The following is a 16,464-nucleotide window of genomic DNA, read 5'->3' as shown; positions in this document are numbered from 1 at the left end:
GCGTTTCGCACTTCCGGGTGTCGAATATGTGGTTTCCTGCCTAAGTGCTTCTGCTGGATGAACAGGGAATTTTTCTTCCGTGTGACTGTAAGAGTTTTCAGATACTCCTGACTCCTCAGCTTCTTCATAGTTGCGCATATTAAGCTGTAGTTATGACACTACAACATCGAGCTACTACAGACATTCATCAGTTTGTGCAGGGGCATCACACGAGCGGTGACTCAGGCACAATGGCCTATGGTTGCTCTGCTGCTACCTGCCAATTTACAGTCGTTCTGCCATGAAGTTATGGTTAAAACATAGTCATGAGTATGTGAAACGACTGTTCATTGAACACCATTGGCTACTTAATGTTAACATGTTACCCATGTGTGGCTCTAGGAACTTTTTAAAGAGGTTCTAGAATGGTACTCTTAACACAACCCAGTTATCATACTGCCGTATGAAAGGTGCTACACAAAAATCTGTGCGTTAGATTTTACCTTGAGATCTATGTGAAAATGTGCATGTAATTTCTTAAACTGTTGCACATGTCTTTTCTGACTAAATGCTACAAGTATTAAGTCCTTCAAAACAGAAATATTTTGTGTGCATATATAGAAACATACACATAATATATTCTTTTTTTTTTTTTTTTGAGACATAGTCTCATTCTGTCACCCAGGCTGGAGTGCAGTGGCACCATCTCGGCTCACTGCAACCTTCGCCGCCCGGGTTCAAACGATTCTCGCGCCTTAGCCTCCTGAGTAGCTGGGACTACAGGCGCACGCCACCATGCCTGGCCAATTTTTTTGTATTTTTTAGTAGAAACGGGGTTTTGCCATGTTAGCCAGGCTGGTCTTGAACTCCTGACCTCAGGTGATCCGCGGTGGCTCATACCTGTAATTCCAGGACTTTGGGACACATAATATATTCTTAAGTAAAAGAACGGAATCATTAAACAGTATTTATTTGAATCAACTATATACTACATAAATAGTATACATCCAAATTAACATACTATATTTAGTAGACACAATACAGAGTATGAACTATATATTATATTAACATTACATAGTATACATGGTACCATGCTCTACTCTAGGGGTAGAAAAATTACACCTCCATTCTGTTAGGGTCTCTGCTGGGTCCAAGAATTAAATTGACATTGTGTGACTAAATTATGTGGGGAGACTTAAATAATAAATTTTAGCAAGTTCTGTACAGTATTCTACTTCTTGTCTTTGAAGCTTAGGATGTTGCCTTTCCTTCTAGTACAGAGTGCCTTTCATACTGGAATTTCATCTTCTCTCCTAAGAAACAGCACAAAGGGCAAAGTGCTCTTCATGCACCTGCTATTTTTCGAGTTTCTTTACCTTTAAAAATGTGCCAAAATAGCATATTTTAACCCTTTCATGACAAAGAAATTGACTACCTGCAACCAGTAACCTTTCTTATTGGTAGGTCAATTGATGTAAAAAATAAAACTGGATAAGCTATGGAGAATTATTCATATTTTAAATAATTCACCTTCTAAAACAGAGACTCTTTATTCTTATGCCAAAACATAGCTACTTCAAAAAGATGTTACAAATCTTTATTTGCATGTTTTGGGCTGTAAGGAATCTTGAGCTTGTTTTGGAAATATTTTAGATTAGTGTGGTACATAATTAACAACTTTCTTCCCCCTAAATTGTATCTTATATTATCATTTTGTTCAACCATGAAGATTAGGTAAAGATATATTGGTGCCAAAGAGGATTTGACATTTTTGACTGAGACTAGTACTATGCCAAAATAAAACAGCTAGTTTTGAGTCATTTTATTCTTTGCTATGAATAACTTCATTTTCTACAGATAAACCCATGGTTATTTTGACCTAGAATAATAAAGATACTTCTCATACTAAACAAAATAGAGAACAGATTCCTGATGATCTGAAAATGCATTAACCCTGTGGAAGATTCTTTAATTACCTGTGATTTCCCTTTGTATCCTCTGCTCCTCACTCTCAATTTGACTTTCGGGGAATCAACAGTATAGATGAGTATATGTGACTGTTTTAAATGTCTATTAAAAACCAAATATAAATGATAGACCTTTACCATAAATGCCTCTTTTCATCTCTCAGCATGAAATTCAAGTCTAGACTGTAGGGGACAGTGCAGGTTCAAATTAGATGATGCTAGGAGAAATTCCTTATTCTTGTTCAACTTTCTGAATGTCCCAGTTTCTCTTTTGCAGTTCAATTTAAAATGTAATGCCCGTAGTCCCAGATACTCAGGAGGGTGAGGTGGGACGATCGCTTGAGCCCAGGAGTTCAAGGCTGTGGTGTGGTATGATCATGACACTGCACTCCAAACTGGGTAATGGAGCAAGACCCTGTCTCAACCAATCAATTAATCAATAATAAATAAATAAATAATAAAAATGCTTCAAGGATTTTAAACCCAACTAAAAGGTATAATGATAGGGGCTTGTTATCTCACATAACAGGAAATTTAGAGTAGTCGGTTCATTGATGAAATCAAAGACACGGGCTCTTTCTTTCATCCTCAGCCTGGGGACTTGTCCCTTCATGGTCACAGGATGGCAGCCAGGCACCATAACTTCACACAACCCTGCCCAAAGGCAGGAAGGCCAGTGTCTCTTTTCATTAGGAGGGAAACCATTTCCACAGTCCCCAAAGTTGGCTTTCCCTCAAGTTCCCTTGGCCAGCATGGATCTCACATCCCTGTCGCAGCTGTAGTGGAAGCTGGGAAATTACGTAAATACGACTTTTGGGCAGGCAAACAGCATGCCTGCCGCATAGTATGCCCTTCAATTATTTCTTCTTAGCAGAGTCTCCTGATCGTCTTGGGAAATATAGTGCTGATTATGGATTTGCTTATCCTGTAGAAATACTCATATGAAAGGAATGGTGATAGAAAAAGCAGGAGGTGGGTCAAAAATGGGGGTTGCATCTATTTCATGAGGATAGTTACTGCTGTGTTTATCTAAAATGTGTAGATGTGCTTTTCCTCATGAAGTCTTGCTTACGCAGTTTAGGGTCAATATACCATTGCTTAGAATGAATGCGTATAGCAAGTAATTGTTGAAGGTTGAGTCCATTTATTAAAATAACAGCATCTTTTTAATTTTACTTTTGCCTCCCTTTCTGTCCTGTGCCTCCAAAGTGTTCTCTACTACTGAATATAATAGATGCATATTATGTTTTAGGCATGTAGTCTTCCTTTTAGAAGCCCTAATCACTTATGTTACAAGGGACAATGTGTAAAGACATATACTACATGTTGTGATTTAAAAGTGAAGAATTAAAAGAGAATGGGGCTGGACACGGTGACTCATGCCTGTAATCCTAACACTTCGGGAGACTGAAGCAGGAAGATCGCTTGAGCCCAGGAGTTTAAGACCAGCCTGGGCAACATATGGAAACCACATCTCTACAAAGAAAAAAAAAATAGCCAGGTGTGGTGGCACGTGCCTGTGGTCCTAGCTACTCAGGAGGCTAAGGCGAGAGGATTGCTTGAGCACAGGAGGTCAAGGTTGCAGTGAACCATGATTCCATTACTGCATTCCAACCTGAGTGACAGAGTGAGACCCTGTCTTAAAAAAAAGAGAGAATGGGTAGCTGAGTTGCCTAGAATGCTCTAGTTTATGAGCTGAGTGGATATCACAGGGGGATAGGTGGAAAATGAGAGGGGGTTTAGTTTGCATAAGCTATCTTTAAAGCCAAGTCAAACTAATGGGGAAGTGAGAAAGAGAATCTGGGTCCTATCTGTGTGAGGGGTAAATGGTAAGGGGAGCTGGAGCAGTTCTTTTAAATATGTGTGTATGTGCTGTTTATGCACTCTTTCCTTTCCTCCCCTTAGGTGGTATTGGCAAAAGGAAAAGATACCGAAGTATGTGGAATTTATGAAAGATAATTACCCTCCTAGTTTCAAATATGAAGATTTTGGACCACTATTTACAGCAAAATTTTTTAATGCCAACCAGTGGGCAGATATTTTTCAGGCCTCTGGTGCCAAATACATTGTCTTAACTTCCAAACATCATGAAGGTAAGTCAATCCAGCCTATGGAAATTGCTGACAATGGTTAAGAAATGAAAAGTTGTTCTTTTGGAAGAAAAAACTAAAGCAAGGTCTAATTTTCTCTTCGGAGCAACCATAAGTGGTGACTGGCACTTGCTTATGACTTAGGGACTGCACATTCAACCCAAATTGAGAGATGTTAGGAATACAGAAAGGATCATACCCGCCACGTAACAGAGGAAAGATGGTCACGTTTTGTCACATGTATTTTGAACAATATTTCCAAGATTTACTTAAAGCTGTTTGTTGAAGGGAGTGTGGGTTGCAAGTCAAAGTTCATCTTGGAATTGCACTCTTTCCTTCCCCTTCTCTGTAATGCATCCTGTGAATGCATCATGGGGATTATACTGCTATAGTCTTGCATCATTACGACACACCTGGCTGCACTTTTAGCCAACTCTTAGCTGGCCAAATGGTGCAAATAGTGGATGAACTGATAGTGATGAAAGTGATGAAAGTGACCCAGATCACCTGGAGGGAAAAGGATTGTGGAACTGTAATGGTTTCCAGAAAAATCAGAGGTGGTAGAAGAATATCTAAACCCCCACACATTTAAAATCCATTCTATTTTAATAGAATGGATTCCACCCATTACCACTCCAGTATTTGTAAGGCCAGGGAAGCATTAACAAATTGTTTTTGTTCCAACGGCTTGTTCATTCATTAGTTTCTTTTGCATGATCATCTTTGCCTTGGTATAAAAAAATTTGCACTGGATGTGGTCGCTCATGTCTGTAATCCCAAAATTTTGGGAGGCCGAGGAAGGAGGATCATTTGAGCCCAGGGGTTCAAGACCAGCCTGGGCAACATAGTGAGACCCTGTCTCTACAAAAACAAACAAACAAACAAAAACTAAAAAATTAGCGTAGTGGTATGTCTCTGTAGTCCCAGCTACTTGGGAGGCTTAGGTTGGAGGACTGCTTGAGGCTGCAGTGAGCGGAGATAGGCTTACTACACTCCAGTCTAGGTGGCGGAGGGAGATCCTGTCTCAAAAAAAAAAAAAAAAAAAAACGGGAAACTTTGCCTTATTGTTTTCTCCAGGGATGGGATGGGAATAGGAGAGGAGAACCAACACAAAAAATCTGGAATGATCATAGGATATTTTTCCCTTTGGCCACATTCTGGTAGCTTCATGATTTTCTCCTGTAGATATTTATCCTGCTGAGATGAATGTCTATCAAGTGTATTTGCTTGAGAACATGCTGATTTCCTGATGTCTAGGAACTTTCCCAAGCTGTATGGCACAAAACATTACATAGTGAGTTTATTTAATAAAAATTGTTAATCAAACTGTGAGGAGAGATGATGTAGCCCACATGTATACATTTTCTGGGACCCATGTTGTCAGATGTTTTCATTGCTCATGGAAAATGCATACTAAGCTCAGGAAGGAACGTCGCAGTGTAAGCTTATGGTGGTGATATTCAAATGAAGACTCAAGTGGTTTTAGTACTGTCTGACATTAGGGCCTGTCAAGTTGAGTAACTTTGAGTATGACTTTAGATATCAACACTGCTCTGAAGCTTACCACAGAAATGATAGGAACAAGAGTGAGCTGTTTTAAAAAGCTTATTAAAATGAATCTAAGGCTAGGTGCAGTGGCTCACATCTATAATTCCAACACTTTGGGAGGCCAAGGAAGGAGGATTGCTTGAGGCCAGGAGTTTGAGACTGGCCTAGGCAGCAAAGTGAGACCCTGTCTCTGAAAAAATAGACAAAATTAGCTGGGCGTGGTGGAGTACACACCTGTAGTCCTAGCTACTTGGTAGGCTGAGGTGGGAGCATCACTTGAGCCCAGGAGGTCGAGGATGCAGTGAGCGAAGTTCGCACCACTGAACTCCAGCCTGGGTGACAGAGCCAGAACCTGTCTCAAAAAAAAAAAAAAAAAAAAAAAAATCGAAAGTATGAGTCATTCTTAGACTTGTTCTAATTTACCAAGAGTAAAATGTTTCACCAAATGTACCTTATAAATGTCTATTCTCAAAGATTCTTTTAGATTTTAGTGGAATAGTAACAATGTATTTAAGTCTCTAGGCACTGATGAAATTTTTGAGGCTTTCATATTTATTATGTTTTAAGTATTTCAGTTTATATATCTCTTCTAACATTTTTATATGGAACAATCAGTAATCTAAATACAAATTCCTCTTAAAAACGAACCACTTCTAAGTGTTTGTATAAAGGTATACATTGTTTTTCTTATCTATGTAGTTGGTAGACTATTCACTTTTGGGTAATTTTATTAAAGAGGAACATCCAAGCTTATGATTTTATAGTAGGATGAGATTACACGTGGTGAGTATATTTTAAAGTATAGAACTATTGGGAATAGTAGGGGTTTTTTTTTGCCCCTCTGGTTAAATAAATAATCAGGCTAAAAGAGATTTGCTATACGTGGATCACCAGTGTTCTAAGAATCACACTATAATAAAATAAACAATCCTAAAACTAAGCAGTAGACTTCAAGCTTTGGTTTAGAAGACACTAAGAATCTTGCAGGAGTGCATCTCAGGATCTTCATAATAAATAGTGGTAGTCATCATTTAGCATGGTACATGTATATGTTCCCATCTTAGTTGTGAGCTGCTATTGTTGATTGTTTATACCTTGTGCTAGCAGTTGGCTGGAGACATAGCAGGGAGCACTGCAGACATGATGCAATCCCTTAAGGACCTTAAAATCTAAGAGGGAAAATACTGGAGATAGATCAGACCGTACAGTGATATACCCTGAAAGTTGCTTTTAAAAACCTGTCTCACCTTGTTTAAATTCTCACTTCTCATATAAAAGCACAATATATGCTATGAAAAAATGGCCATAAAACAGTCATTTGTAGGAGCAGGTATTTATATATCGCATGTACTATGTGATTTGTTTGGGCATTTGTGTGGGTTGAAATTTACTAAAATAAAGTTGACATGCTTACAAGGGTTTTCACTATAATTTTCTAGGCTTTACCTTGTGGGGGTCAGAATATTCGTGGAACTGGAATGCCATAGATGAGGGGCCCAAGAGGGACATTGTCAAGGAACTTGAGGTAGCCATTAGGAACAGAACTGACCTGCGTTTTGGACTGTACTATTCCCTTTTTGAATGGTTTCATCCGCTCTTCCTTGAGGATGAATCCAGTTCATTCCATAAGCGGCAATTTCCAGTTTCTAAGACATTGCCAGAGCTCTATGAGTTAGTGAACAACTATCAGCCTGAGGTTCTGTGGTCGGATGGTGACGGAGGAGCACCGGATCAATACTGGAACAGCACAGGCTTCTTGGCCTGGTTATATAATGAAAGGTGTGTATGCTATGAGATTGCTGCAGTTACCCTCCATATTCCTAATATATTTCTAACATTTTAATTCCTTCACCTCTTGAAATATTTCATTTTAAGTCATTGGTGGTATGGGGGGAGAAAATCATTGTAAATAATACTTATTAGATATATCACTATTTACTCAACATAATCAAGGGTAAATAAATCAGGAGTAAAATCCAACTCAATGGTCTGATTTTGAGATCAGACTAAAAATCACAGGATCAAGAACTTTGAAGGTGTTAATTTTGTGGGTCCCCCCTTTTTCTCTCCTACCCTGGTCCTTTATGGCCTCTATTCTGGGACAACTCTGTTTCTTCATCACTATTTCTGACTATTTGCTTCTGAATCCCGCAGACTGCTTCTTTTTATCCTCTTACCTTTTGGTCATCTTTGCTGCCCAGCCAATGTCACCCTTGTTTGTCTCCTCTTTTCCTTCATCGCAGCCTTTTCACTTTCTCCAGTTTTTTCCTATTGCTTCCTGGTATGTTCAAGGCTGCCCTATTAGAACAGGGAGTTCTGATTAAACTCCTCCATTAGGCTTAAACTATATGGACCAAATTTGCATGTACACTAGAAAGCACTGGGTATTGTGCTACGAAGTCAGGCAACCTTCTGCTTGCACTTCCTGGGCCCACAAAGGGCACAAATACAAATATTCTGAAGAACTCTTGATACTTAAAACAGCAGTGTGTCCAGGTACTCCTTCCAAGGGAAAAAACTGGGAGCCATCACTTCAATTTGTGACTCAAAACTGTTCCCTCTATGTGGCGTGTATTTCCCTCTTAAATATGCCACCTGCTATGATAAGCAATATTGTGGGGATATTTCACATGATATCAACAGTCAAATTTTCTGAGATTTTTCAATATTAGGCACAATGGTAAGAGAAAAAGAAAGGCTAGACTACATGTATGAGATCATTGAATCATTGAAAAGAAAAGTGTCTTGGGTATAAATTCAGTTTTGGCTACCATTTACAATATGGAAGGGAGCTTAAAATATTCATATAATACTCTTATGAGTGCTATATGTGCTGGGTACCAGGCTAATGTTTTACATAACTTATTTTTGTTCTAATCATAGATGAGGAAATTCATTATTCAGAGGAGTCAGGTAATTTGCTCTAGGTCTGGGAGCTAGAAAGTGACAAAGCCAGAACTCCAATCAACTCAGGTCTGTTTGACTTCAAAACCATGGGCTTTCCACTGTACTATGCCATGGTCCCTTTTCAGAATTGTATTTCAATTACATGTCTTTTCAGTGACATTTCTTTTTGTATAAAAAGCTTATACCTTTTGTTTTAAAAAATTGTATGTTTCATTTCAGCCCAGTTCGGGGCACAGTAGTCACCAATGATCGTTGGGGAGCTGGTAGCATCTGTAAGCATGGTGGCTTCTATACCTGCAGTGATCGTTATAACCCAGGACATCTTTTGCCACATAAATGGGAAAACTGCATGACAATAGACAAACTGTCCTGGGGCTATAGGAGGGAAGCTGGAATCTCTGACTATCTTACAATTGAAGAATTGGTGAAGGTACAGTGAAATGTCTGGTGGCTATTAACATAATATTCTTAATAGTGTGGTCATGTAGGAATTATTTCTTCTATGGCTCAATGGCCTATAAATATAGGACATTGTTCTATCCTGTGTTTGTTCTTCTAGGCAGTGACTATATATACATGTATAAATATATAAATGCAACATATTAGCACATTAAAGATGGAATTATTTTATTTATCTAAAAACATTATTCTTAATTTTTTAGCAACTTGTAGAGACAGTTTCATGTGGAGGAAATCTTTTGATGAATATTGGGCCCACACTAGATGGCACCATTTCTGTAGTTTTTGAGGAGCGACTGAGGCAAATGGGGTCCTGGCTAAAAGTCAATGGAGAAGCTATTTATGAAACCCATACCTGGCGATCCCAGAATGACACTGTCACCCCAGATGTGTGGTAAGTCATTCTTGTTACCAAGTACTCTTTTATAAAGGAAGAGATTTAAAATTTATCAGACATATAAAGAAGAGTAGGATAAAAAGAGAAATTGGATGAATTCCTACATATACAAAGCACTTTCCAAACTTTGCTTACTCTAATATAAAGAGAAGGGGAAGAATTTGCATGTTTTGAAACATTTATTGTTTATCAGATTGAGCTTACATCATTTCTAGGTATCTCCCAGTAGTGGACAAATTTTGGCTGAAAGTACTCAGCTCTTAGAAAAATTGTAAGCTGTTCAGACCAATGAAAAATGCTGAATGGTTAGTCTAAAACGGAGATTACTGTTTAACCAGTTCGGTAAATTCTGACTTTTGCAGATGTTGCATCCCATGAAATTAGCAAACAAGAGGTACCCAATGGCAGAGAAAATGTTAGATTAAAAATGAATCAAAATAGGGAGGGTTCAGGGAAGATGCTTCTCTCTGAGCTTGAGGAGGTTCTGTGTGTCAATGAGTACCCGAATCAGACTCCACAAATATGACAGTTTCTGATATGGTTTCTTAACATATATAAAATAAGATGAGTATTGGTGAAGTTCTAAAAATTCGCTTTCAGTTGCCACCTGAGTACTGTCTGATCAAATAGGAACCGAAAGATTAGACTAATTGTTCTTCAATCTACTTGACTTATGACTTAAAACATTAACAACCCATTGAATAAAATGGAGTAAGGCAATCTGGACAGAGCAAATAATTGTGGAATTTTAAAATGTTGATCTGGGAGAAGCCATAATGAGAACTCAATACCAATCTCTCATGTGACAGAGAATAGTAGAAATCTGGTTTTGGAATTTGCTTCTTACTTTTGAATACTTACATTTGAATATGAGGGTATCTGATCTGGGACTTCACAATCATTAACCATTATTCTATTGTGTTTATTTCAAGAAATAAACATAAAAGCTAAATATTTAATGTGGCTTATAAAACTGTGAGTCTGGCTCCTACCAACTTCCCTGCCACTGAGTGGTCCTGCTCTCCCTCCTCACCATAGGAGCCTTCTTCCCCCAGGGTTCATCATGCCCACCTTCTTGCAGTCACCTACAGACTCCCAGGTCAACCCTTAAAATCCTTTGAGAGAGCCCTGGCTTGCTGTCCCTGTCCCCAGAACTACTCTTCACATAATTCTTAGAGATTTAAATTTTTATTCACAGTTCTAATTACCTGCACCTCCTGTCTTCTAGGGGTCTTGTCCGCTTGACCTTTGTTACCTGTTCCTTTGCATTATCAATATACAAGGTCATATTGGTAATGCAAAGTCGAACTTCTTACTCAACACTTCCACTTGGATGCATAGCATCTTAGACCTGTACGTCCACAACTGAAGCCCTGAGTTTTAAATTTTTGCTGTAGACTAGCTCCACCCACGGTCTTCTCCATCTCAGTTAATGGCAGCTTTATCCTTTAGGTGGTTGTCAGGCCAAAAACCTTGGTGTCCTTAACTTCCCTTTCTTTTATAAACATACTTTAGACTTTGCATTACCAATAACTGAACCCCTTCCACGGCTCCAGTTTGAAGGATTCTGCCATCTACCTACCACTTCTTATATTTTGGCTCACTCTGCATGGCACTTCGGCTTCCAAAGGGATCTATAATCCAGTGATCATACTATCTTTTAATCCTATCATCTTTTCTCTGTCTTTTTCCTTATCCGGGACAGATTCTGTGGCCCATCACTGTAACTAATCTATTGCATACACCCAACTCCTGAACCCTTGCTCCCTCTGCCATACTCACTTGACGGAACATCAACTTTAAATACAGATCTACTTATTCCATGCCTGCTTCTGGACAGCTAACTGTTAACTATGGAAACACACACACACACACACGCACCCAGACACATACAATGTAAAATTATCTCACTTTTGGCTTTAAGGTCAACCCTTGTGTCCTGATCCCATTGCAAATCATCCACCCAAGGATTGTTATAGCAATTCTCCCCTTTAACTCAATTTCACTTGCATTTCTAGTGATCTTCCCATTTCTCTCCTTTCCTTTGTAGTAAAACGTCTTGAAAGGATTGTTTTCACTTGCTATCTCTAATTCCTTGCTACAGTTTTTCTCTTGAACCCCCTCTGGTCGAGCTTCCACCCCCACACTCCAGAATTGCTCTTCTCAAGGCCCACAATAACATCTGCCTTGCCAGTTCCAGTGATGAGTCCCCAGTGCTCATTTTCTTAACTTACTGGCAGTGTCTGCCTCAGTTTATCACTGTCTCTCCTGGTGTTTGTCGTACCTTTTGGCTCTTCCTTCTTAGTTAGTTCCTTTGCTGATTTCATCTCATTTTTCCAACCTCTAAATCTTGAAGTGCCCTGAGGTTTAGTCTTTGGACTTCCATTCTTCTCTATCTTTTTTTGAGTGCACTGGTGCGATCTTGGCTCACGGCAACCTCCACCTCCCAGGTTCAAGTGATTCTCCTGCCTCAGCCTCCTGAGTAGCTGGGATTACAGGTGTCCGCCACCAAGCCTGGCTAATTTTTTTGTATTTTTAGTAGAGATGGGGTTTCACCATGTTTGGCCAGGCTGGTCTCGAACTCCTGACCTCAGGTGACCCGCTTGCCTTGGCCTCCCAAAGTGCTGGGATTACAGGCGTGAGCCACTGCGTTTATCTTAATGTCCCAGGTGATCTTATCCATTTTCATGGCTTTAAATGCCATATTGATGATCTCCACATTTCTATTTCCAGTGCAGACCTCTTTCCGAACTCCAGCCTCAATAACTTCCTACTCAGCATTTCCACTTAGATGCATAGCATCTTAGACCTGTACATCCAAAACTGAAATCCTGAGTTTTAAAATTTTGCTATCAACTAGCTCCACCCATGGTCTTTCCCATCTCAGTTAACGGCAGCTTCATCCTTTAGGTGGTTGTCAAGCCCAAAACCTTGAAGCCCTTAGTTTCCCCTTCTTTTATAGTCACAGCCAACCCATTAGCAGATATCATCCTCTGCATCTTTGAAATATATTCAGAATCTGTCCACTTCTTATCCTCTCTGTGGCAACCCTCATCCTTTTAGTTTCCATTGTCTCGCCCCTGCCTGGATTATTTCAGTAGCTTCTTAATAGGTCTCTATTTCTACCCTTTAACCTATTCACCACAAAGCAATCAGAGTATACTTTTAAATAATAATGCCACTCCCATGGTCACATTTCTCCAATGGCTTCCAGTCTCAGAGAGAAGGCCAGGTCCCATAGATGCTTACAAGGGCCTATAAAATCTGGCTCCTATCGCCTCTCTGATCTTATCTGCCATCACCCTCCCCCACTTCCTCTCCTTCAGGCACTCTGCCTTGCTAGTGCATCAACAGGCAGAGCACACTCTTGCACTGGGGCTCCTGCACTTGTCATTCTGTCTGGAAGGTTTTCCCCAGACGCTCCCGTGGTGCTCTTATGGCGCTCCCATGGTTCTCTTCCATGCCACCTCTAAGAAGTCTTCCCTGACTATTCTGTTTAAAATAACACTCCCAGGCCCCTCCTTTCCTACCTAGCATGCCCTGTCCTTCTAACCTGGCTTGTTTTCTCCATAGCATTTAATCAACACCTGACATATTTGTTGATTCTAATTTCTTCCACTAGAATGTAAGCCCCATGAGGACAAGGACTTTGTTCAATGTTGTATATAGCTCTAAAACAGTGTCTAGCATTTTAAGATTTCAATAAGTATTTCTTGAGTAATTGAATGAATAAATGAATGAAATCCACTTTTTTTTTTGTCCACAGCATACTTCCCTTACCTTCTTCTTTGCTCCCATTCATCCTTTAAGTCTCAGATTAAATGTTATGTTCCTGGAGAGGCTTCTTTCTGATGTTCTAATCTAAAGAGATCCTTTTGTTATAATCTCTCAATTTCCTTTTCTTTCATGGTGCTTATCAGAACTCACACTTTCATATTATTTGTGTGATTGTTTAGTGTCTGCTTTCCCCACTCTAGTCTAAGCTCCATAAGAACAAGGACTATGTGTGTTTTGTTTTTTATTGTAACTCTAACACTGAGCACAGTACTAGGCACAGAATTGACACATGCATATCTTGTCTTGTTGAATGAATGAATGAATATAAAAATTTGAATAATACATGAAAAGCCATGAAGCTCTTGCATCCTGTCCCCTTAGATCATCTCCCTCCCCTTTTCAGCTCCATGAGAGCAGTCTGATGAAGAGGAATGCTAGCTCAGGAAAATCTTTGTCTTCCAAGAACTTCCTTTTGGTCTTGGGGGAGGAAGGTGTTTTTTTATACCACCATGAGGCTATTTTTCCTTCCCTTCTATTAGTGGTGACATTGTGGAAGTATCTGTAAAATAATTCCAGATTGTTCCTGATCCATAAATAGTGAGAAACATGGGATGTAACTTGCTACTATGCTCTTTATTTTTTTCTTTTAACCAGGTACACATCCAAGCCTAAAGAAAAATTAGTCTATGCCATTTTTCTTAAATGGCCCACATCAGGACAGCTGTTCCTTGGCCATCCCAAAGCTATTCTGGGGGCAACAGAGGTAAGAGGGAATTTTACCTTATTCCTTTAAATTGCTGATTAGAACATCTTGATGCAAACATTAACTTTTAAGGGGAGCCTTATAACTGTTTCACTTATACTTCATAAAAGGAATTGTAAATGAGCTCCAGCCAAGCATTGTGGCTCACACTGTAATTCCAGCACTTTGGGAGGCTAAGGCAGGAGGATGTCTTGAGGCCAGAAGTTTGAGACTAGCCTGGGCAACATAGCAAGACCCCTGTCTACAAAAATTTTTTTTAAAGTTAGCTGAGCATGGTGGCACGCACCTGTAGTCCTAGTTACTCAGGAGGCTGAGGCAGGAGGATTGCTTGAGCCCAGTAGGTCAAGACTACAGTAAGCTATGACTGCACCACTTCAGCCTGTCTCTGAAAAAATAAAATAAAATATAATAAAATAAAATGAATTTCACCAATGACAGTGTTTGGTCAAAATCTTTGAAACTTTTTGTTTCCCAGAAAACTAAGCTGATAAAACAGCTGCAGTATCTCTATGCATATCACTGTAAAATAGACATTATTCTTCACAGTCATTTTACGTTGTTCAAGTTCACTGCATGCATCCAAAATGATTCTTCTCATAAAACTAGAATTCGGATGCTTTCCCTGACACCCCACCCCAGAACATATCTGAATACAAGATGTCATGACTCTACTATTTTATGTTTATAAAACATTTTGGAGAAAGTTAGAGATTAATCTAACTGTTGAAACCACCAGATCTGGCATTGAGTTCATTCTGATATATTTTATAACTTATTTTTTTAAATAAATTATCCCTTTGGAGGTGAACTGTCCATATGGGGGTTCTCCTTGCATCACTTTTCTGCATTTCATTTCTAATACATGTGGTTGATGAGGCAGAAAGAAGATGAGTTCAAATCTAATGTTTAATTACAGCTTAGTAGCCCAGGTATGATACTGATTATGTTTTTATTTTATCTATGTTCTTTTTGGTGCCAATTAACATTATTATTTAAAAGCTCATGGGCTTTGTTTTCATATTGATCCACCTGAGAAGCAAAGTTTTTGGTTCAAAATAACCCTAGAATATGTAGGGAACTTATTTGAATTTGCTTAGTATAGTAAGACTAAGAATATAAAACAATTACAGTAATAATTGATCAAATTTATGTATTATTGATTAGTGGAGGTTATTAGAAAATCTGGGGGAGGAACGCTGAGTAGATACTTGGGCAGACTCTGGTTTCAGAGCCACTTTCTGCTCCTGATCCTCTCTTTAGCTTTTTCTCCACTCTGAGACTCCATTCAGTCTTGAAAATTCTCCTTCCCCAACCCCTGCACACTTCTATTTCCCTCTTGAGAGTAAAATAGAAGCAAGAATATAGAGGCAAGATACATACACTCAATTGGATGAAGAGTGATTGTGAATCACTAAATAAAGGTAAAAATGAACCTCTTGTCTACAATTTTGTTTGAACTACTAATCACTCCTTCCCAATAGAAAGTGGGTGAGATAAAGAGATAAATTTGGAGACATTTGCATGTATGTTTTTAATTTCAGGTGAAACTACTGGGCCATGGACAGCCACTTAACTGGATTTCTTTGGAGCAAAATGGCATTATGGTAGAACTGCCACAGCTAACCATTCATCAGATGCCGTGTAAATGGGGCTGGGCTCTAGCCCTGACTAATGTGATCTAAAGTGCAGCAGAGTGGCTGATGCTGCAAGTTATGTCTAAGGCTAGGAACTATCAGGTGTCTATAATTGTAGCACATGGAGAAAGCAAATGTAAAACTGGATAAGAAAATTATTTTGGCAGTTCAGCCCTTTCCCTTTTTCCCACTAAATTTTTTCTTAAATTACCCATGTAACCATTTTAACTCTCCAGTGCACTTTGCCATTAAAGTCTCTTCACATTGATTTGTTTCCATGTGTGACTCAGAGGTGAGAATTTTTTCACATTATAGTAGCAAGGAATTGGTGGTATTATGGACCGAACTGAAAATTTTATGTTGAAGCCATATCCCCCATGATTATATAGTTATGCATCACTTAATATGGGGATATTTTCTGGGAAATGCATTGCTAGTCAATTTTTTTTTGTGCCAACATCATAGAGTGTATTTACAAAATCCTAGATGGCATAGCCTACTACACACCTAATGTGTATGGTATAGACTGTTGCTCCTAGGCTACAGACATATACAGCATGTTACTGAATACTGTAGGCAATAGTAACAGTGGTATTTGTATATCGAAACATATGGAAACATAGAGAAGGTACAGTAAAAATACTGTAAAATAAATGGTGCACCTGTATAGGGCACTTACCACGAATGGAGCTTACAGGACTGGAAGTTGCTCTGGGTGAGTCAGTGAGTGAATGTGAAGGCCTAGGACATTATTGAACACTGCCAGACTTTATAAATACTGTATGCTTAGGCTACACTACATTTATAAAAAAAAGTTTTTCTTTCTTCAATTATAAATTAACATAAGTGTACTGTAACTTTACAAACGTTTTAATTTTTAAAACCTTTTTGGCTCTTTTGTAATAACACTTAGCTTAAAACATAAACTCATTGTGCAAATGTA

General features: G+C 38.9%; 1 protein-coding gene and 1 long non-coding RNA gene across 2 annotated transcripts in view, besides 1 other annotated feature; one reads left to right on the top strand and one right to left on the bottom strand.

Annotated features, from left to right (window-relative positions):
- Nucleotides 1-16,464, top strand: part of FUCA2 (alpha-L-fucosidase 2) — a 16,909-nt gene extending 445 nt beyond the window's left edge. The window contains exons 2-7 of the mRNA NM_032020.5: nt 3,852-4,039; nt 7,024-7,363; nt 8,711-8,921; nt 9,154-9,344; nt 13,779-13,887; nt 15,429-16,464. Coding sequence (NP_114409.2) covers nt 3,852-4,039; nt 7,024-7,363; nt 8,711-8,921; nt 9,154-9,344; nt 13,779-13,887; nt 15,429-15,569 — 1,180 coding nt within the window. The 3' untranslated portion in view covers nt 15,570-16,464. The remainder of the gene's footprint in view (nt 1-3,851; nt 4,040-7,023; nt 7,364-8,710; nt 8,922-9,153; nt 9,345-13,778; nt 13,888-15,428) is intronic.
- Nucleotides 120-323: a silencer, noted in NCBI's record as "fragment chr6:143832090-143832293 (GRCh37/hg19 assembly coordinates)". NCBI's record gives its function as "represses an EF-1alpha promoter that drives an FKBP-Casp9 reporter gene in an ReSE screen in K562 erythroleukemia cells {active_cell/tissue: K562}" and the evidence as "EXISTENCE:reporter gene assay evidence [ECO:0000049][PMID:32094911]".
- Nucleotides 3,946-5,860, bottom strand: LOC124901417 (uncharacterized). The gene is made up of 2 exons (XR_007059798.1): nt 5,819-5,860; nt 3,946-5,306 (listed from the first exon to the last, which is right to left on the bottom strand). It is a non-coding gene; the product is annotated as an uncharacterized LOC124901417 (long non-coding RNA).

Source organism: Homo sapiens, chromosome 6 (assembly GCF_000001405.40).
Source record: "Homo sapiens chromosome 6, GRCh38.p14 Primary Assembly".
In the NCBI taxonomy this organism is placed as follows: Eukaryota; Metazoa; Chordata; class Mammalia; order Primates; family Hominidae; genus Homo; species Homo sapiens.
The sequence above is the reverse complement of the archived record's forward strand: the minus strand, read 5'-3'. Positions and strand labels throughout refer to the sequence as shown.